Source organism: Homo sapiens, chromosome 16 (assembly GCF_000001405.40).
Source record: "Homo sapiens chromosome 16, GRCh38.p14 Primary Assembly".
Taxonomy (NCBI): domain Eukaryota; kingdom Metazoa; phylum Chordata; class Mammalia; order Primates; family Hominidae; genus Homo; species Homo sapiens.
In genome coordinates, this window is record NC_000016.10 from 82,011,485 (window position 1) to 82,029,363 (window position 17,879).

Sequence of the window (17,879 nt, forward strand, 5' to 3'; positions counted from 1 at the left end):
ACCTGCCTCCTGGAGCCACTTCCGGGCCTCTCTAGGAAGCCTGGAGGTCTCGGAGTCTCTATGACGCGCAGGTGTCTCCTTCACCTTCACCGGCGTTGAGGTAGCAGGAGGTTCGCTTCATGAATTCCCCCACGTTCTCTGGCTGTGCGTTCCGCCGTGGCGGGAACCCTTTTAGGGTCACGTCTTCCCCCACGTCCCCTGTCTGTGCGTTCCGCCGTGGTGGGAACCCTGTTAGGGCCACGTCAACTGCTCTTCCCACCTCCAGTGTCTGCTTTTAGACTTTCACCTCCATCTTTGTTTATCCCCAAGGCCAAGACCAGTGCCTGATAAATAGGCACTCAGGTCAGCATTGCTTGGGTGGATGGATGATGGAAAAGGCTCTATAGGGAGGCAGAATATTCACTCTCCATGTATCTCTTTAAGTTTCTATTATCTCTGAGTTTCCATATCTATGTGTGCCCATAGGTTTTCCTGTGTCCCTAATTTTCCTTATTTCTCTTTGTTCTGGTCGCCAAGCAGGCAGTGATGCCAAGACTAATCTTTGTTGCTGAAGGAACCAAGGAATGCAGAAAGGAAAGTTGGCATCCTCACTCAGAGGTCTCCTTTTGAGGCCCATCTTTTGTCTCCTCATCATGAGTGTGGTTCTGTGGATGGTTGCAGACTGTACACGTGTATGGACATGCATCCTGGAATGGACCCCTGGCTGGGGAGGATTTCATTTTAGTGTCTTGGAGGATGGAAGTTTTGACTTCATGTGGTGCTCTTGCCGATAGATCTGGTACCAAAGGCAGACTCAGAGAGGTTCATATCAATTGCCTGATTTACTGCTCAGTTTTCACTAAGCACACACAGTCACAAGGACAAAGCTCAAGTCCTAGGATATAAAAATTAATGAAGCCCAGGTGAAGAAATCAAGAAGTGCCAGTCCCTGGCACTGGCCTCTCTCATAGGATGCTCTGGCTTTCCTGCCTGTCTTGTCCTCACCTATTAGGCAGGCATAAGTCACAGGAGACTTCTTGTGCTAAGCAGTCTTAAAGAACAGCTTTGCAGTGGCTGCTTAGGATACATAAAAATTAGAAGAGAAGAGGAAGGGTATTCAGGGGGCTGAGAGACCAGCTATATGCTCTTGAGGCCAGCAGCTAAGGAAGAAAAGACCCACTGAGGATGCAGTAAAGAAGACAGACTTCCTTTGGGGAATTACAGGATCCTCTGAGGGATACCCAGATTTAGAGTGTGTGGATAAACATGAGAAATGGTGAATTTAAATGTTAGTATTCTTGTGCCACCGAGGACTCTTTTAAAATATAATCAGGCGTGTTTTAAAGGAAAATTACAAACTCTATAATTGCTTCCTTAGCTTCCATCATAATTTAGTGAGTTGATTTTATAAAGGTCTGACCAAGAGATCTAAGACAGAAATGACTGGAGAAAGAAATTAACTTCAATGTGAGTTTGTATATCAGTGTTTGTTTAGTATTGTCTTCCCCCAATAATATGTCCAGGCAGTGGATGCATCTCAGAAAGATCAGTTTGCTGTCACAATTACTCACAGGTGTGCAGTATTTTATTTCTCACTCCGATCACAGTCCAATTCAGTCTGCAGGGAAGGGGAAGAGTGCTGTGCTCCACATAATCACTCAGGGACCCAGGCTTCCCCCATTTGTTATGCCATCATGTTCAACTCTTGGCTGCCAAGGTCACTACAGAAGAGGAAGTAAGAGCTTGGCTTTCCCCAACACTTTCACTTAAAGTCTCCTGCATCCCCTTGAAATTCTTCAATCTCTTCACAGCACTTAGCTCATCTGAAATTATCTTGCATGTTGCTATAATGAAAGCTCCGTGAGTGCAGAGACCTGCTTGATTGATTGGTGTATCTCCACTACCTACTATAGTGTCTGGCATAGAGACAGAATTTTTTTTTTTTTTTTTTTTTTTTTTTTACTGGTGAATGAATCAGCAAATGAATATATGTCACATTTCTGGTTGTCCCTGTTCAAAATCCCAGGCTTGCAAACGACACCTTCTTTTGGCCCAGCTTGGATCAGAAATCACCTCTACCATTGTCAGCTGTGGCAAAAGGACACAAGAACTGCTATAAACTGTGGTCATTTCTAAAGAACGGAAATTATTGTGAGCTTGGTAGGCACATGAGAACTTTGCTATCCAAAAGTGTGGATCAGTAACATCAACATCACCTGAGAGCTTATTAGAAATGTTGGGTCTTGGATCCCATTCTAGGCTTAATAAATACAAATCTGTATTCAGCAAAATCCCTAGGTAATTCCTATGTATAGTAAAGGCTGATAAGCACTGCCCTAAAAGTGCTATGACTTAGTAGTAGTAGCACTACAACTCTCTGAGGTGGGTAAGAGAAACCTTGTAATAGTTCCACACTGCATCTGGAAATCAGGTGAGTTTAAGTGACTTACCCAAGGTCACAGAACTAGTAAATGACAGACCTGTGATTAAAAGCCAAGGCTTCTGGCCGGGTGCGGTGGCTCACGCCTGTAATCCCAGCACTTTGGGAGGCTGAGGCGGGCGGATCACGAGGTCGGGAGATCAAGACCATCCTGGCTAACACAGTGAAACCCTGTCTCTACTAAACATACAAAAAATTAGCTGGGTGAGGTGGTGGGCACCTGTAGTCCCAGCTACTTGGGAGGCTGAGGCAGGAGAATGGCGTGAACCCAGGAGATGGAGCTTGCAGTGAGCCGAGATCACGCCACTGCACTCCAGCCTGGGCGACAGAGTGAGACTCTGTCTCAAAAAAAAAAAAAAAAAAAGCCAAGGCTTCTGACTCCCATATCCTCCACATTCCATCTATTTCACCATGCAGCTGTCTTTCCTAGATAAACCTATTTTCTTTCACTAATAAAAAAAATATAAAGGGGAATAGACAGAAAAAAATTGAGCTATATTTAAACAGTGGTTAATGGCTTCAATAATTGATTTTAGAAAAGAAAACAAGCATTTATCACATGCAGTACATTTCATAAAATGGTTTTCCTCATTACATATTAAAGAACTCTCCAAGTAACATAATGTTTATATTTCATTTATTCAGCAATTAAGCAACTTAATATTCTTTTAGAAGCATTTATAGCACTTATTAAGAATTATCAAGCATACTATTTGGGTCAATGGCTTTTCTTTTTTCCTATTAAAAACTTTTGAAATAATTCATTATTGTTACCCTTGCCTCTCTCAGTACTGATTAAACTAAGTGTTTAAATAGTGCTGACTAAACCTACATGTTATTGTGAGTGTCCTGGCAAGGGCTCTGTGTTCAGTGCTGAAGCATTAGGGGCTCTCCTAGAAGGACACAAAGGACCCTTTGAGACAGTAAAGCTTATATTTGCCATTTTCTTGTCTCACTGTTTTCAGGAATTGAGAAGTAAGGATACCCACTATGTTCATCAGGTTTCTTTGGGTTGCAAATCATAGAAATCCATCCCAATATAGATAAATCAAAAGTAGGGATGCTTGGCTCCTGTAACTGGAAGCTTAAAAGGTGGATCTAGTTGTCGAGCCTCAGACATCATAGAGTCCTGTCTCCTTATCTCTTGGCTCTGGATAGAGAAAGGTTAGTATAGAACGTGTCAGACATGGTTTTCCCCAAAGAAGGGATTTTTGGCACACACCAAATAACATCTCACTATACCAATTAACGAAATCAGTTTGTGCTTTGTGGAAGATTGCCAGTTGTTACTCAAAATGTCTTTCCCTTCTTCCATAATAATAGTGTTTTACTTGCATATGATCATCCAGAATAAAAGCTCCACTTACCAGCTTCACTTGCAGCTAGATGTGCCCTTGTGGCTAAGTTTTTGCCAATATAATGTGAGTGGAAGTGATACATGCCATTTCTGGATGAAATGCTTAAGAGGAAATTCATTTCCCTCTTTTCTCCCCTCCTGTGGACTGACACTGAGATTTGACTCAGCTCCAGCCCTGTAGGTGAAGATAGTACCCCTAGGAGATATAGGAGCAACAAGATAGAAGGAACCTGGGTCTTTGAATGACCTTGTGGAGTACAACTGTCTCACTAGGCTCACCATTCTAGATTACCAGTACTGTTATGTATGATACTATACATTTTTAATAAAAATTTTTATTGAGATCATTGTAGATCCACATGCCATTGTAAGAAATAATACAGAGAGCTCCTGCATACTCTTTGCTCAGTTTCCCCAAATGATAACATTTTGCAAAACTGTAGTGTAATATCACAACCAAGATATTGACCTGGATGCAGTTGATAGATCTTATAAAGAATTCCCGTTTTACTTGTACTCCCTTGCGTGTGCATGTGTCTGTGTTTCGTTTTTTACAATTTTATTACATGTGTTGGCTTCTGTATTAAGCCACTATGTTTTGAGGGTTTTTTTTTATAGTAGTCTAGCCTTTATCCTAATACAAGATAGTAGAACAACATGTGCCAGGAAAGAAGGATGTATTCAAAGATGGAAGACTCTGAAGATGTATTCTTCTCACTGGTCTGTAAAGAATAACTTTATTAAATGATAGTCAGCATGTATTGGGCACCTGCTTTGTATCAAGCATCATGTTAAGTGCTGGGACAATGCAGTGAGAGTTAAGACAGACCTAGGTACTACAACTGCAGTGGTTATATTTATCATCCACTCTGTTGCATATACCCTATTGGTCTTCAGCAACCTGAATATAAAAGATACTTATTCCATAATGCCTGGATCCTCCAAGAGACATCTACTCCCAACCTGCTTCTTTTGAATCCTCTTCAAAAAATGATGCACAAACCCATTAATACTTCCTTCTTGGATGTGGGACCTCCCCTTACGAGGGATTGATGTGTCTCAGAATAGTCTCTGCAAGGAATCCTGGTGTGATTCAACTGCGAGAAATAACCACCATATCTTAGTTTCAGTTCTGCCAGAAACAGACCTTTAGACAAAGATTCAAGGACAAGTAGTTTATTTTGGAGGTGATCCCAGAAACTACCAGTAGGGGGGTGGAGATGTGAGACAGGGAAGGGAAGGAAATCAGTTATCGCTGAGGACAACCAAGCTTAATCCTGCTGGGGGCTTAATCGTTCCATAAAGTAAATCCTTCTGGAGAAACTCGGAAACGCAGTAAACACCCTTCTCAGTGTTATTCTACCTGCTGGCTGAGGTTGTTCACTATTTATTCACTAACACGTATTGGTTATTGGTTGAAAATATGCGTGGGGTGGATTTCTTCCCCATCACTTCCAGTTTCTCCATAACAAAAGCAACGCAAAACCATGCAGGTTCTAACATTTGGAGGTCCAGTAGGCATGCACAGATAAGTGTAGGGGAAAGGAAGTGGGGCACCACTGGAATAACTAATGTCATAACTACTGTCTTACTTGTAGGATAGCAATTCACTTGAAGTAATGAATGACTTCCCTTTTCTAATCTTTAGATTTAGAGGAAATAAAGTAAGGAGACTAGAAACATAGCCTTTAGAGACAGAGTGATGGAGATTTGGATCCTGGCTCTGCACGTTGGAGTACTGAGCTGATGAAACAAGACGGTGCCTGTATTCCCCATAGACACTTATTGGGCAATGTTAGCTGCTCTTGTTATAGCTCATATTCAAGATTACATGTGCAAAACTTGTACAGGAATGTTCAGAGCAACATTATTCATAATAGCCCCAAAGTGGAAACAACCCAAATATCCATCAACTGTTGAATGGATAAATAAAATGTGACATGTTCATGCAATAGAATATGATTCAGCCAGAAAAAGCAATGAAATCCTGATGCATGCTACAACACAGATGAACCATGAAAACATTCCACTCATGTTTTCCTTAGCCAGTTGCAGAAACAACTCATAAAAGGCCACATGTTGTATGATTTTACTTGCAGGCAATGTCCAGAATAGGCTAACCCACAGAGACAGAAAGCCGAATGGTGGTTGCTGAAAACTAGGGGATTTGGGGTGAAATGGGGAGTGACTGCTAATGGGTTACTTTTTAAAGTGAAATGTAATGATGGTTGCACAAGTCTGGAAAAGCCGCCGATTTGTTCCCTATTTTTTTTTTTTTTTTTTTTTTTAAAGATGGAGTCTCGCTCTTGTAGCCCAGGCTGGAGTACAATAGCGCCATCTCAGCTCACTGCAACCTACGCTTCACAGGCTCGAGCGATTCTCCTGCCTCAGCCTCCCAAGTAGCTGGGATTACAGGCGCCTACCACCACACCTGGCTAATTTTTGTATTTTTAGTAGAGACAAGGTTTCACCATGTTGCCCAGGGTGGTCTTGACCTCCCAACCTCAGGTGATCCACCCAACTCGGCCTCCCAAAGTGCTGGTATTACAGGTGTGAGCCACTGCACCTGGCCTGATTTGTACACTTTAAATTGGTAAATTGTATGATATGTGAATTATATATTAATAAGGCTATCCCAAAAGAGATTACACTTATGATAATGTCAATCTCATTCTAATTTCAATGCTGTTTGAATGGGAGAGGATGGCCTATCCCCTTGGACATGTCCATGGATGTGTGTCATAGGGGGAAACATCAATGTGACTAAAAATTGAGGAGCCACTGAATTAGAAAAATAAGCATGAGTCTCTTGTTTCACTATCTCAATATGACAGCTTTTCCCCTGGGACCCTCCTCTTGCCTTCATTTCTCTCAGGGCAATGCAAAAAAGTACAAACAAGGAGGAATATGAGGTTTGAATAATAAGTGGTTTTCAATTAGCTGCATTGAAAATTGAGAGTCGACTTGTATTAATTTTCACTATCAAATTACTTCATTTTGTCTCTCCCCTGACTGCTAGGGTAATTTTATGCCAGAATTATTTTAGTCATTCTAATTATGCATGCATCAATATTTAGTGGGTGTTTACCTAACCCACAGCACACCCAAATGTTTTTGCTCCCCCAGAGACCATGGGAGTGCAATATAATATTAATAGGCGGTGCGTGGTATGGAGATGAGGTTCCCTTTATTTCTCCTCCTTGTTTGTAAGGAACGTTCAGGTGGTGTTTCTTGGAAAGCAACGTGTGTGCTATTCGGATGCATCTACAAAACTAAAAGCAGTACTGTGGATGCTATGGGTTCATTATCTGATACTAAATGCAATTCTAGCACAGATGTTTCATTAGGGATTCAGTTATGTAAGACAAATTAAAATTTACCATTTCTTTAGAATTTCCTTTTTGCAAAAAAAACCCTGTCTGTCATGTGTTTGAATTTTTCTGTCACTGGCAGTATTTCTTCTCCCCTTTTCCTGTAGACTCTTTCCCCTTTAGTTACTTTATTTTATTTTTGAGATGGAGTCTCACTCTGTCACTCACGCTGGAATGCAGAGGTGCGATCTCAGCTCACTGCAGCCTCCACCTCCCAGGTTCAAGCAATTCTCCTTCCTCAGCCTCCCGAGTAGCTGGGACTACAGGTGCACGCTACCACACCCGGTTAATTTTTTGTATTTTTAGTAGAGACGGGGTTTCACCATGTTGGCCAGGCTGGTCTCAAACTCCTGACCTCAAGGGATCTGCCCTCCTTGGCCTCCCCAGGTGCTGGGATTCTTTCTCCTTTAACTAACACTCTCCCACTTACTCTCAGCTGGCCATCTCCTTCTCTTACTCCTACTTAATTCTCCTCTCCCTCCTTCTCTGTTTTCTTTTTATTGACCCCTTTGTATATTCTTCCTAGCTCCCAACTGAGTAAAACCCAAGATTCAGCCTTCAGCCTTTCTTTTAACATCTACATCATTTCCCTTCAATTCTCTTGGTTTCAACCCTGAATCTTGGGCTGACAACTCTGCAATGTATATTAACTTGACACTGCAAAGTATTTAACGGGGATGGCTCAATTTATCTTGCCCTAATGTCCAAAAGTGAATTCCTTATATCTGGGAATACTTGGCACTGGTGGTACTATTTTGACATGCCCTCTCTTTCCCTTCATGCTTAGGCGGGTTTAATTTCCCTTTGCAAAATCTCTTGGACCCGGTCCCTCTTTCAATTCCTTCTGCCCCTGTGGTTTTCCTGATGGCCTTCTAACTAGAGTGACACCCCAGAGGGTCAGCATGTTAATCTGGACAGTCTGCGAGGTTTGAGAATCTCTCAGGGAATAATCCTGAGGACAGACCTCAGTGCTGCCTTCTCACTCTCTTTATCCTTTCCCAGGGTCCATAGCCACCTCTTACCTGCACCACTCCCCGAAGGCCCGTGGGATAAGATGATGCTAAGAGCAAGCCTTGGGTAAGAGAGCATGACAAGAAACGGGACAATGCAGGGGAGGGCATGGGGACCAAGCACAGCATGGACCACAGGGCCTTGGGGATGTGGAAGGAGAGAGGGAGAGAGAAAATACCAGCAGAAACGTTTCTTGCCTATCACTGTGGAATGGTTGACGACAACCAGGATGCTGCATCCAGGCGAGATACGGGGGAGGAATGAGCTGAGGAGGGGAGGGAAGTTATTCCAGAATAGCTTCTGTGGATGCTAAGGCTTGGTGCATGGCACCCGACAGAGACTCTTTTGATTCCATACAAATGTCGGGCAGTTTATTGTATAATTGGGATTATACACTGTGCCTCCGCCTGCCACAATAAGGTGAAAGGGGTTGCATTGCTCTTATTCTTGGACTAAGGGAGGTGGCCACATAAACTATGGCAGATAAGTGGAGTTTATAGGCTGTAGCAGGGTATTTAGGGCAAGAACTCTAAACCCTTTATGGCACACCAAGGACTCTGGACCCCGAAAGTGTGTGCCAACTAAAAATAATTGCTGATAAAGTTAGAATTATTCATATTTTATATTATCAGAGATAAATATAACTTCTGATTAATATGAGAAAACCCAAGTAACCCCAACGAATGAATATAAAGATCAGCTCCAACCAAGGAACGTGATGGCTTAGCTGACACGGGTTAATTAATGCAAGGCTTGATACAGGAGACAGTGAAAATGGGAGTATTGGCTAATGAATTAATTCACCCGTTCCTGCATTCGACAAGCATTTATGGAGTGCCATTTACATACCAGGCAGTGTTCTAGCCACTATAGGCAGAGATAATGGTGAATAAAACATTCTCTGCCTTCAAAAAGTTCAGAGGTGGCTGGGCGCGGTGGCTCACGCCTGTAATCCCAGCACTTTAGGAGGCCGAGGCGGGTGGATCATGAGGTCAGGAGATCGACATCATCCTGGCTAACACGGTGAAACCCCGTCTCTACTAAAAAATATAAAAAATTAGCCTGGGGTGGTGGCGTGCACCTGTAGTCCCAGCTACTCTGGAGGCTGAGGCAGCAGAATGGCGTGAACCTGGGAGGCGTAGCTTGCAGTGAGCCGAGATCACGCCACTGCACTCCAGCCTGGGCAAAAGGGCGAGGTTCCGTCTCAAAAAAAAAAAAAAAAAAAAAAAAGTTCAGAGGCTAGTGTGGTTCAGTCAAGTCAGAGAGCAATTGCATGACAACAGAATTTCTCAAAATGTGTTCTTCATACCACTTGCAGCAGATCACCTGGGATGTGTGTTAAATGCGCAGCTTCCTGGACTCCACTCTCCAAATGTCCAAATAGACTTTCCCGCAGTGAGGCCAGGAATGAGCATTCCTAGCAGCCACCCCGGGTGAGCTGCTTTCCCATTACATTTTTGGAATTGCAGTCCCATAAGTTCAGTGTGCTATGATGGAGAGAACCTAGGGGACTATGGGAACTAAAATGGGACCCCTACCCCAACCTGGGGACTGCGGAGGGATCACAGAAGGCTTGCTTTTGGAAGTGGTACCTGAGTTGAGTCTTGGAGGACAAGGGGTGGTAGCAGAAGACAGGAAAGGTAGAGGGAACAGTGGGCCATGAAGCATGATGGAGCTGGGGTGTCAGGGACCCATGAGTGTTTCTATGAAGTTGGGGCACAGAGGAGTGTGACTTGGAGCAACAGAGGAGATGGCGCAGGTAAATAGGGACCCAGCCAGTCACGTACACTGAAGGAAATTGGGAGACCCCAGCTGACATGGCCATTACCACATTTAGTTGGTACATGGGGTAAGTTTGATGTTCCCTGTAATCTCCCTGGAAGAGACTTTGAATGCTGAGCCAGGGCGCTGTTGGCCAGGATAACTCCAGGTGATTACTTAAAAAAATATTGTATTGAACTTTTCACTAATAGAGGGGATGTCTTGCCATAAGGTATTTGAAATCAGAGGTCTTCAGACATTTTTGCTTATTACCCCTAAAGGATTTTTTTTAAAAAATGTATGCTCTTCCTGGCACATTTTAAAGCTGATGTCTAAAATTTTTGTCTTATGTCTAAATGGTTGTAAATAATGGATACCTAACATATATTATATTGACATTTTAAGATAAACTATGATATCATTCTTTTAAATATATCCAGATCAATCAAAATACCTTGGCAGTTCAATACTTCCAACATATTACAACATTTTCAAAACACGTAAGCATGTTCTCTTGTTAGCAGTTGGAAATTTTACATTTTTTTTTGTTCTTATATCCACAGTTCTATTTTACTTCCTTCACAGAATTTTATTCACTATAATATATTTTACACTTGAATGTTTCTTATTGATTTCTCCTCCTGTTTCTCTATAATGAACGTACATTCATATATATAAATATAAACATGTAAAGAATATATATGTTTATACATATGAGGAAAAAACTAAACATGTATATATTTTACATATATAAGTAACATAGTTACCATAGACTTCTGTATCAATTCTCTTCTGGATTGAGTTAACATTTTAATTATTAGTCATAGATAACAAATAAAATACTATTATAAAATTTTTAAATTATTAAATATAAAAATAAAGTATTAATTCGATGGATGTGGGTTTTTTCCAATTTGTTCAGGTATCTTAATTTGAATGCTACTTACTAATAGAAAAATACAGGTTTCAGCATGAATTATATTGCTATTTTTAAAATTCTTATACACGTATCACTGAGAATTTTCATTCACAGAAGTGAGTAGATGGGGATGGAACTAGATTTGAATAGCAACTTTACTCAATTAAAAAAATCCATCAATATATTTCTCAATATTGACATATTAAATAAGCTTAACCATATGATCATATCCATAGATGAAGAATAAACATTTGACAAAATTCAACATCCTGTTGTGATAAAATTCTCAGCGAGTTAGGAATAGATGGGACACTCAATTTTTAAACCTCCTTTTGAATTATATGCCCCTAATTAAATTTTATGGTCAACTGGCAACTAGGTTAGGTTCTTCTTCAGTTTTGCTGGAAGCTGAGAATTGTAAACACAATTACTTGCAAAATAATTTATTATTCCATCTTCAGTGTCCAGAAATTAGACCAAAGTGGGTTTAAACCCATATCAAATGAATACTAATTATACTTGTTATTTTTTTTCTCCGAGACATTATGTTTCCCTAAGTATACTCAGAGTTGGGTAAATCACAACAGCGTTAATGTTAATTTCAATATAATACCATATTGTGAATGCAATATTTTTGATAAAATGCTTTTATCTTATGTATCTTAAATATATTTTAGGACAACTTTGTAACTGAAGACAACTCATTCAAGTTCTGGAATATATTCATCATATAATTGGCAAAGCCATTTCACATTGTCAAGTCAAACAGCTAAATCAAAGTATTTACATTATTTTTGAGTTTTATGGTCACGTTATATTTAATGATCAGCTGTTAGAAAAAATAATTGACTTCATATTTCAGTTCAAGTAAACATGTTAACAGTATACTCATGACCACCATTTTGTTTTATTTTGTTTTTGATAGATAGACAGTGTCTTGTTCAGTTTGGGCTGCTATTCCAAAGTACCAGAGGTGGCTTAACAGGAACAGGAGGCTTATCAACAACATAAGGTGGCTTATCAACAGCATAATTTTTTTTTTCACAGTTCTTGAGGCGGGAAGTCTGCGATCAGGGTGTCGGCATGATTGGGTTCTGGTGAGGTTGCAGAACTGCTGGCTCTGCAGGCTGCTGGCTTCCTTTATCCTCCCGGGGCCAAAAGAGGGCAAGAGAGCTCTCCAGGTTGTAAGGGCATTAATCCCGTTCATGAGGGCTCTACCGCCATAGCCTAATTACCTCCTAAAGGCTCTACGTCCAAATACCATCACATTGGGGGTTAGGATTTCAACATATAAAGTTGGGGGTTGAGATGATACAAACATTCAGTCCATTGTCAGCAGACAGATACAGCATGAAGTTTGTTATTGTTGCTATGGTTTTATTATTTAGATCATTTCCATGGGAAAATTCAGAGCATGATGAGGGAGCCAGTTGCATTGAGCCGGAGACATACAAGAAAGGAATCACAGGAGTCGAGGGAATTAGGCAACTAGACAAGAACATTCTAGGCAGAGGAAACTGCTGGATCAAGGAGGGTGTCCCATGTGTTTGATAAGAAGTAAGTAGGTCCTTGGGACTAGAATAGAGTGAAAGAGGGGGTAGAAGTCAGATGTGGTCTAAGAACTGCAGGGGCCAGACCATCCTTGTAGCCATTTAAGGATTTTGGCTTTTCTCTAGGTGAGACGGGAGGCTTTGCCAGGTTTTCAGTAGATGAGTGATAAGATTGGACTAAAGTTTTGAAAAGAATTTTTTTCTGGTGCTGGGTTGAAAATGGACTGTTGGGAGACAGGGGTGGAACCAGAGGGATCTACTGGAGGCAGTTGCAATGCTGGCAGGGGGTGATGATGCCTTGGACTAGGCTAGCAGCAGTGGAGGGAGTCAGAAGTAGTCAGGTAGTGGATAAATTCTGAAGGTAGAGCTAGCAAGATTTCTTGGTGGATTGGATGTGGGTTGATTCCAACAGCAGAGTCAAGGGGAGTCCAGTGCTTGCATGCTGTGCTGCTGAAAGGATGAAGTTGTCCTCACTGAGATAGAGAAGGCTGTGAATAAAGTAAATTTGGCACTTGTAACTTTGGGAGTAGGAGTTAGAGTAGGCTGTGAGATGACAAGTGAGATGACAACCCTGTAGGAAACAGGGAGAAGTTGAGTCTGTGGAACAATATGGGTGGGAGGAAGAGGAGGAGGTTAAAGAGACAGTGAGAGAATTAAGAGAAGCTCAAGGAAGTATCTAGGAGGTTAGGAAACTCCCTGGTGGTGGTGAGAGGAGACAAAGGATCCTTTAGTAAGTAGAGTTACATCACTGTTGTATGTCCTTTGGTGATTGCGGTAGTTTCCTAGGGCTGCCATAACAGATGACCATGACCTTGGTGGCTTGAATCAGCAGTCCACAACCTTTTTTGGTGCCAGCGACTGGTTTCATGGAAGACAATTTTTCCACAGATCTTTGTGGGGGTGGGGGAATGGTTTTGGGATGATTCAAGTACATTACATTTATTGTGCACTTTATTTCTATTATTATTACATTGTAATCTATAATGAAATAATTATACAACTCACCATAATGTAGAGTCAGTGGGAGCCCTGAGCTTGTTTTCCTGCAACTAGACAGTCCCATATGGGGGTGATGGGAGACAGTGACAGATCACCAGGTGTTAGATTCTCATAAGGAGCACACAACCTAGATTACTCACATGTGCAGTTCACAGTAGGGTTTGTGCTTCTGTGAGAATCTAATGCCACCACTGATCTGACAGGAGGCAGAGCTCAAGAGGTAATGTGAACAATGCGGAGCGGCTGTGAATACAGATGAAGCTTCACTGGCTCACCCACTACTCACCTCCTGCTGTGCAGGCTGGTTCCTAACAGGCCACAGACTGGTACCAGTCTATGGCCCAGAGAACGGGGACCTCTGGCTTAAATAAAAGAAATCTAAATCTATTTGCTCACGGTTCTGGAGGAGAGAATTCTAAAACCCATGTGTTGGTAGGGACATAGCCCCTCTAGAGGCTCCAAGGGAGGCTGCTTCCTGCTTCTTTCAGCTTCTGGTGGCTCCACAGAGCTACAGTGCCACAGGCATCCCCTGGCTGTGGCACTGTAGCTGTAATCTCTGCCCTGTCTTCACGTGGCCTTTGTCCTGTGTCTACCTCTGTCGTCTTCTCTTCTTTCTCTTATAAAGATATGTGTCACTCAATTTAGAGCCTATGCTACTCCAAGATGATCTCATCTCCACATCCTTTACTTTGTTACATCTGTAAAGACCCTGTTTCTCCAAGGATCATATTCACAGGTTCCTGGAGTTAGAATATGGACATATCTTTTGAGGGGCCACTACTCATACCACTACAGAGTATGAGTACTTCTACCCCCTCCATCTTTCCTACCTCAACATCAATGCCACTAAAAACAGCTTTACTGCTATAAATTTTGTTTTGCAAGCAGATAAGAGAGGTTGAGTTTCACACTGAAGTCAGAATGGCATAGCAAAGCAGTGGCTGACAAGAGGCAGAAGGACCTGTGAGAAGGTAGTTCCCTAGGAAATTGAAGAAGTCTTGGCAAGGCTTCTCAAGACCATAGAACTGGGCATTTGAGCCTATCTTATCTGGATCCTAAAGTTTAGAAGCGTTCAGCTGATATCTGTGTTATAACGACATAAAATATGACCATACTATACATTCTACTTTGTAACCTGCTCTCCTTGCTTAGAAAATATTGCAATCATTTTCAACAACATGATTTTTAATGGCTGTATAGCAGTCTATCAAATGAAAGTACCGTAATTTATATAACAAATCCTTTATGATAAGCCATTGAGGATGTTTCTGCATTTTACATATGATAAATAACACTGAAATGAACAACTCTCTTTATAAATCATTGCGCACATCTTTGATTATTTTCAAATGGGCTCATTTTAATTAACCATGAACCATGAATTGCTATTTTGTGATAGCAATTCTGCTCATCGTTTCCTTTATGAACTAAAACTTTTCCTTCAGGCAAAAAAACAAAAAAAACAAAAAAACGAAGTTCCTGCAACATCTGGCTTATGATGTAATTTACTTTTGGTATTCAGCTGTGCTCCCAAATATTTAAATATCTTCTTTCTAATAGTCTCATCCTAGGTTTAATATCCCTTCTGGAGATACAGATACAAGTGTGTTTCCTTCTGTGAACCTTGGCCATGACTATCTGTGCCAAAGTTGTATATCAGTTGCCTTCAGCTTCTATTTCTCAAGTTGTAAGACCAAAGAAGAAAGGACAGAAACCAGAAAGAATTAGACTGCAGGAATTTTTGTTGGGACCAAAAAGACGCTTGTGATAATTGCTGCCATGGAAAACTGTGACATGACAGACCATTTACACAGACTGTCCTTATAGCCAATAAAAGTTAGGTATTATTATCTGCAGTATTGGTGAGCAGGTAGTGGCTCAGAGCAGAGAGAGCAGGGCTCATTGTCAATTAAGTAGCAGAGTTGGAATTCTAACCCAGGTCGTTCTAACTCAAAGCCACCATGTTGTACATCAGTGGGGCTCCCATACCTTTGAACTTTGAATGCTGGTTAAGATTTCTTACCAAAACTGTGGAAGTCATGTAGGCTTGCCAACTTTTAATTTTGCCAAGTAAGGGCATCAAACAGCAACAACCGTTAAGTGTGATCACCTACCACAGTGGTCTCATATACAAAAAGCTATTTTAATGCCTGAAAGAGGAGGAAGGCTATCATCTCTGAAGTCAGTCCCTTCAGTGAGGTGAATTTTCTTACGGAAATTCAATATGTTGTCCTTCCTGCTGATGTCCTCTCACCATGGACCAGGGAAAGTGAGCACTCTCTCCAGACGCCATCTAAGAACCACTTCAGGAGGTCACGCTATCATCACTGCCCTGACAGAGGGTTGCTCTGGCTTGGCTGACCAATGTGGAAGGGGTTGCAAGGACTCCCCTCTGCTGTTGAAAGGGGCTGGAAAAACATTCAGCCTAGTAATAGAGGGGCATCCATTCTATGAGCTCCCCCTGTTCAGGGTAGAATTCTCACACTCTGTTCCTTTCCAAGAATGAGGAAAGGAAGTGGAGATGGTGGATGTAAAATTTAAGAAATTTAGGAGGGAGAATAAGAAAAGAGGGAGAGAGAGAGAGAGAGAGAGGGAGGAAGAGAGACACAGAGAGAGAAAGAGAAAGAGAGAGAGAAAAATACTGGGACACATGGGCAGAAATATTTTTATACATGTGGATCTCTTAATGTATTTAGGAGAAGTAAAGTTGTGTAGACAGAGAGTCCTTGTCAGTATCCAAGCGAGTAAATCGAGACAGAGTTCAGGGATCTTTCAATCTGTGTTTTACTAACAGAATTCACTGATTCACTGTGTATGGAACACAAAGGCATGCAGGAGCGTGCCTTACTCGTCACGCACACGCAAGCCTCAAGGGCAAGGAGGGGTCTGTATCTCTAATTATTGGTCCGGAATAAACATTTAGCAAATAATTGATGAATCAGGGAGTGGACTAAAAGCCAATCATCAGGTAAATCTATTAATGTTTAATTTCAGTGGATTGCCTCACCCTACCCTTATTGCTTCATTTTTTGATTTATAGTCATAAGCGGCAGATAAAGGCAAAGTTGGCTAGGGAGCAGTCTCCACAAATAGAAACCCATAGGAAGAGTAAAGAACATGCAAGTCAGGGTAATTTCTGACCCATCAGTCGGGAGGAGGTTCCTGAAGTCAAGTGTTATTGAATGAGAAATCTGGACCAGACACTGTACTTGACATTTGACCAGCATTTATCTCACATGACCTTCCTAAGAACACAATGAGGGAGACACTATTAATACTATCCCCAGTTTACAGACTGCAGAGCCCAAGGAGATGCTTAGCAGCTGGGCTTGAGAGCTGTAATGGAGCAAGGAGGGAACCCACATCGGCCTTCAACAGCCTTCCTCTGGTCCAGCAGCTGTGAGCAGGCCTACTTGTTGGAAGTGGACTGACTGGTTGACTCGCTGGCAGTGCATGTGCACAAACACATACACACGTGCACACACAGACACCTACACACAGATACAGAGAGATACACATACACATCTACATATATACACACATGCAAACACACATATATACCCACACAGATACAGAGATACATGTATATATCTACATATATACACACAAGCACACACATACCTACACACAGATACAGAGAGATACACATACACATCTAGGTATATACACACATGCACATACATACGTATACCTACCCTCAGATACAAAGAGATGCATGTACACAGCTAAATATACACACACATGCACACACATACCTACACACAGATACAGAGAGATACACATTTATGTATATACACACATGCATACACACATATATACCTACACATAGATACAGAGGTATATATATATATATATACACACATTCACGTCTACATATATACACATGTACATACACACATATACCTACACACAGATACAGAGATGTACACATCTATATATATATATACACACATGCACATACACACATATACTTACACACAGATACAGAGATGTACCCATCTATATATATACACACATGCACATACACACATATACCTACACACAGATACAGAGATGTACCCATCTACATATATACACACATACACATATACACATATACCTACCCACAGATACAGAGATGTACACATCTATATATACATAGACACATGGACATACACACATGTACCTAAGCACAGAGAGATACATGTACACATCTACATGTATATTCACATACACACATATACCTACACACAGAGATATACACATCTACTTATGTACACATATGCACACACATACATATACTGACACAGATACAGAGATAGACACTTCTACTTATGCATACACACTTGCACATACATACACATATATTCACTCAAAGACACACACGAATATACAGATATACCTGCACACATGCACATCCACGCACCTATGCATGTGTGCACTTGTACAACACCCTTACACATATCTACACATGCATGTGCACACACACATATACACACACATGAATGGAGAC

General features: G+C 41.4%; 2 annotated features.

The window, feature by feature from the left end:
* Positions 151–240: an enhancer, noted in NCBI's record as "active region_11225". NCBI's record gives its function as "activates an Ori minimal core promoter by ATAC-STARR-seq in GM12878 lymphoblastoid cells {active_cell/tissue: GM12878}" and the evidence as "EXISTENCE:reporter gene assay evidence [ECO:0000049][PMID:35858748]".
* Positions 251–330: an enhancer, noted in NCBI's record as "active region_11226". NCBI's record gives its function as "activates an Ori minimal core promoter by ATAC-STARR-seq in GM12878 lymphoblastoid cells {active_cell/tissue: GM12878}" and the evidence as "EXISTENCE:reporter gene assay evidence [ECO:0000049][PMID:35858748]".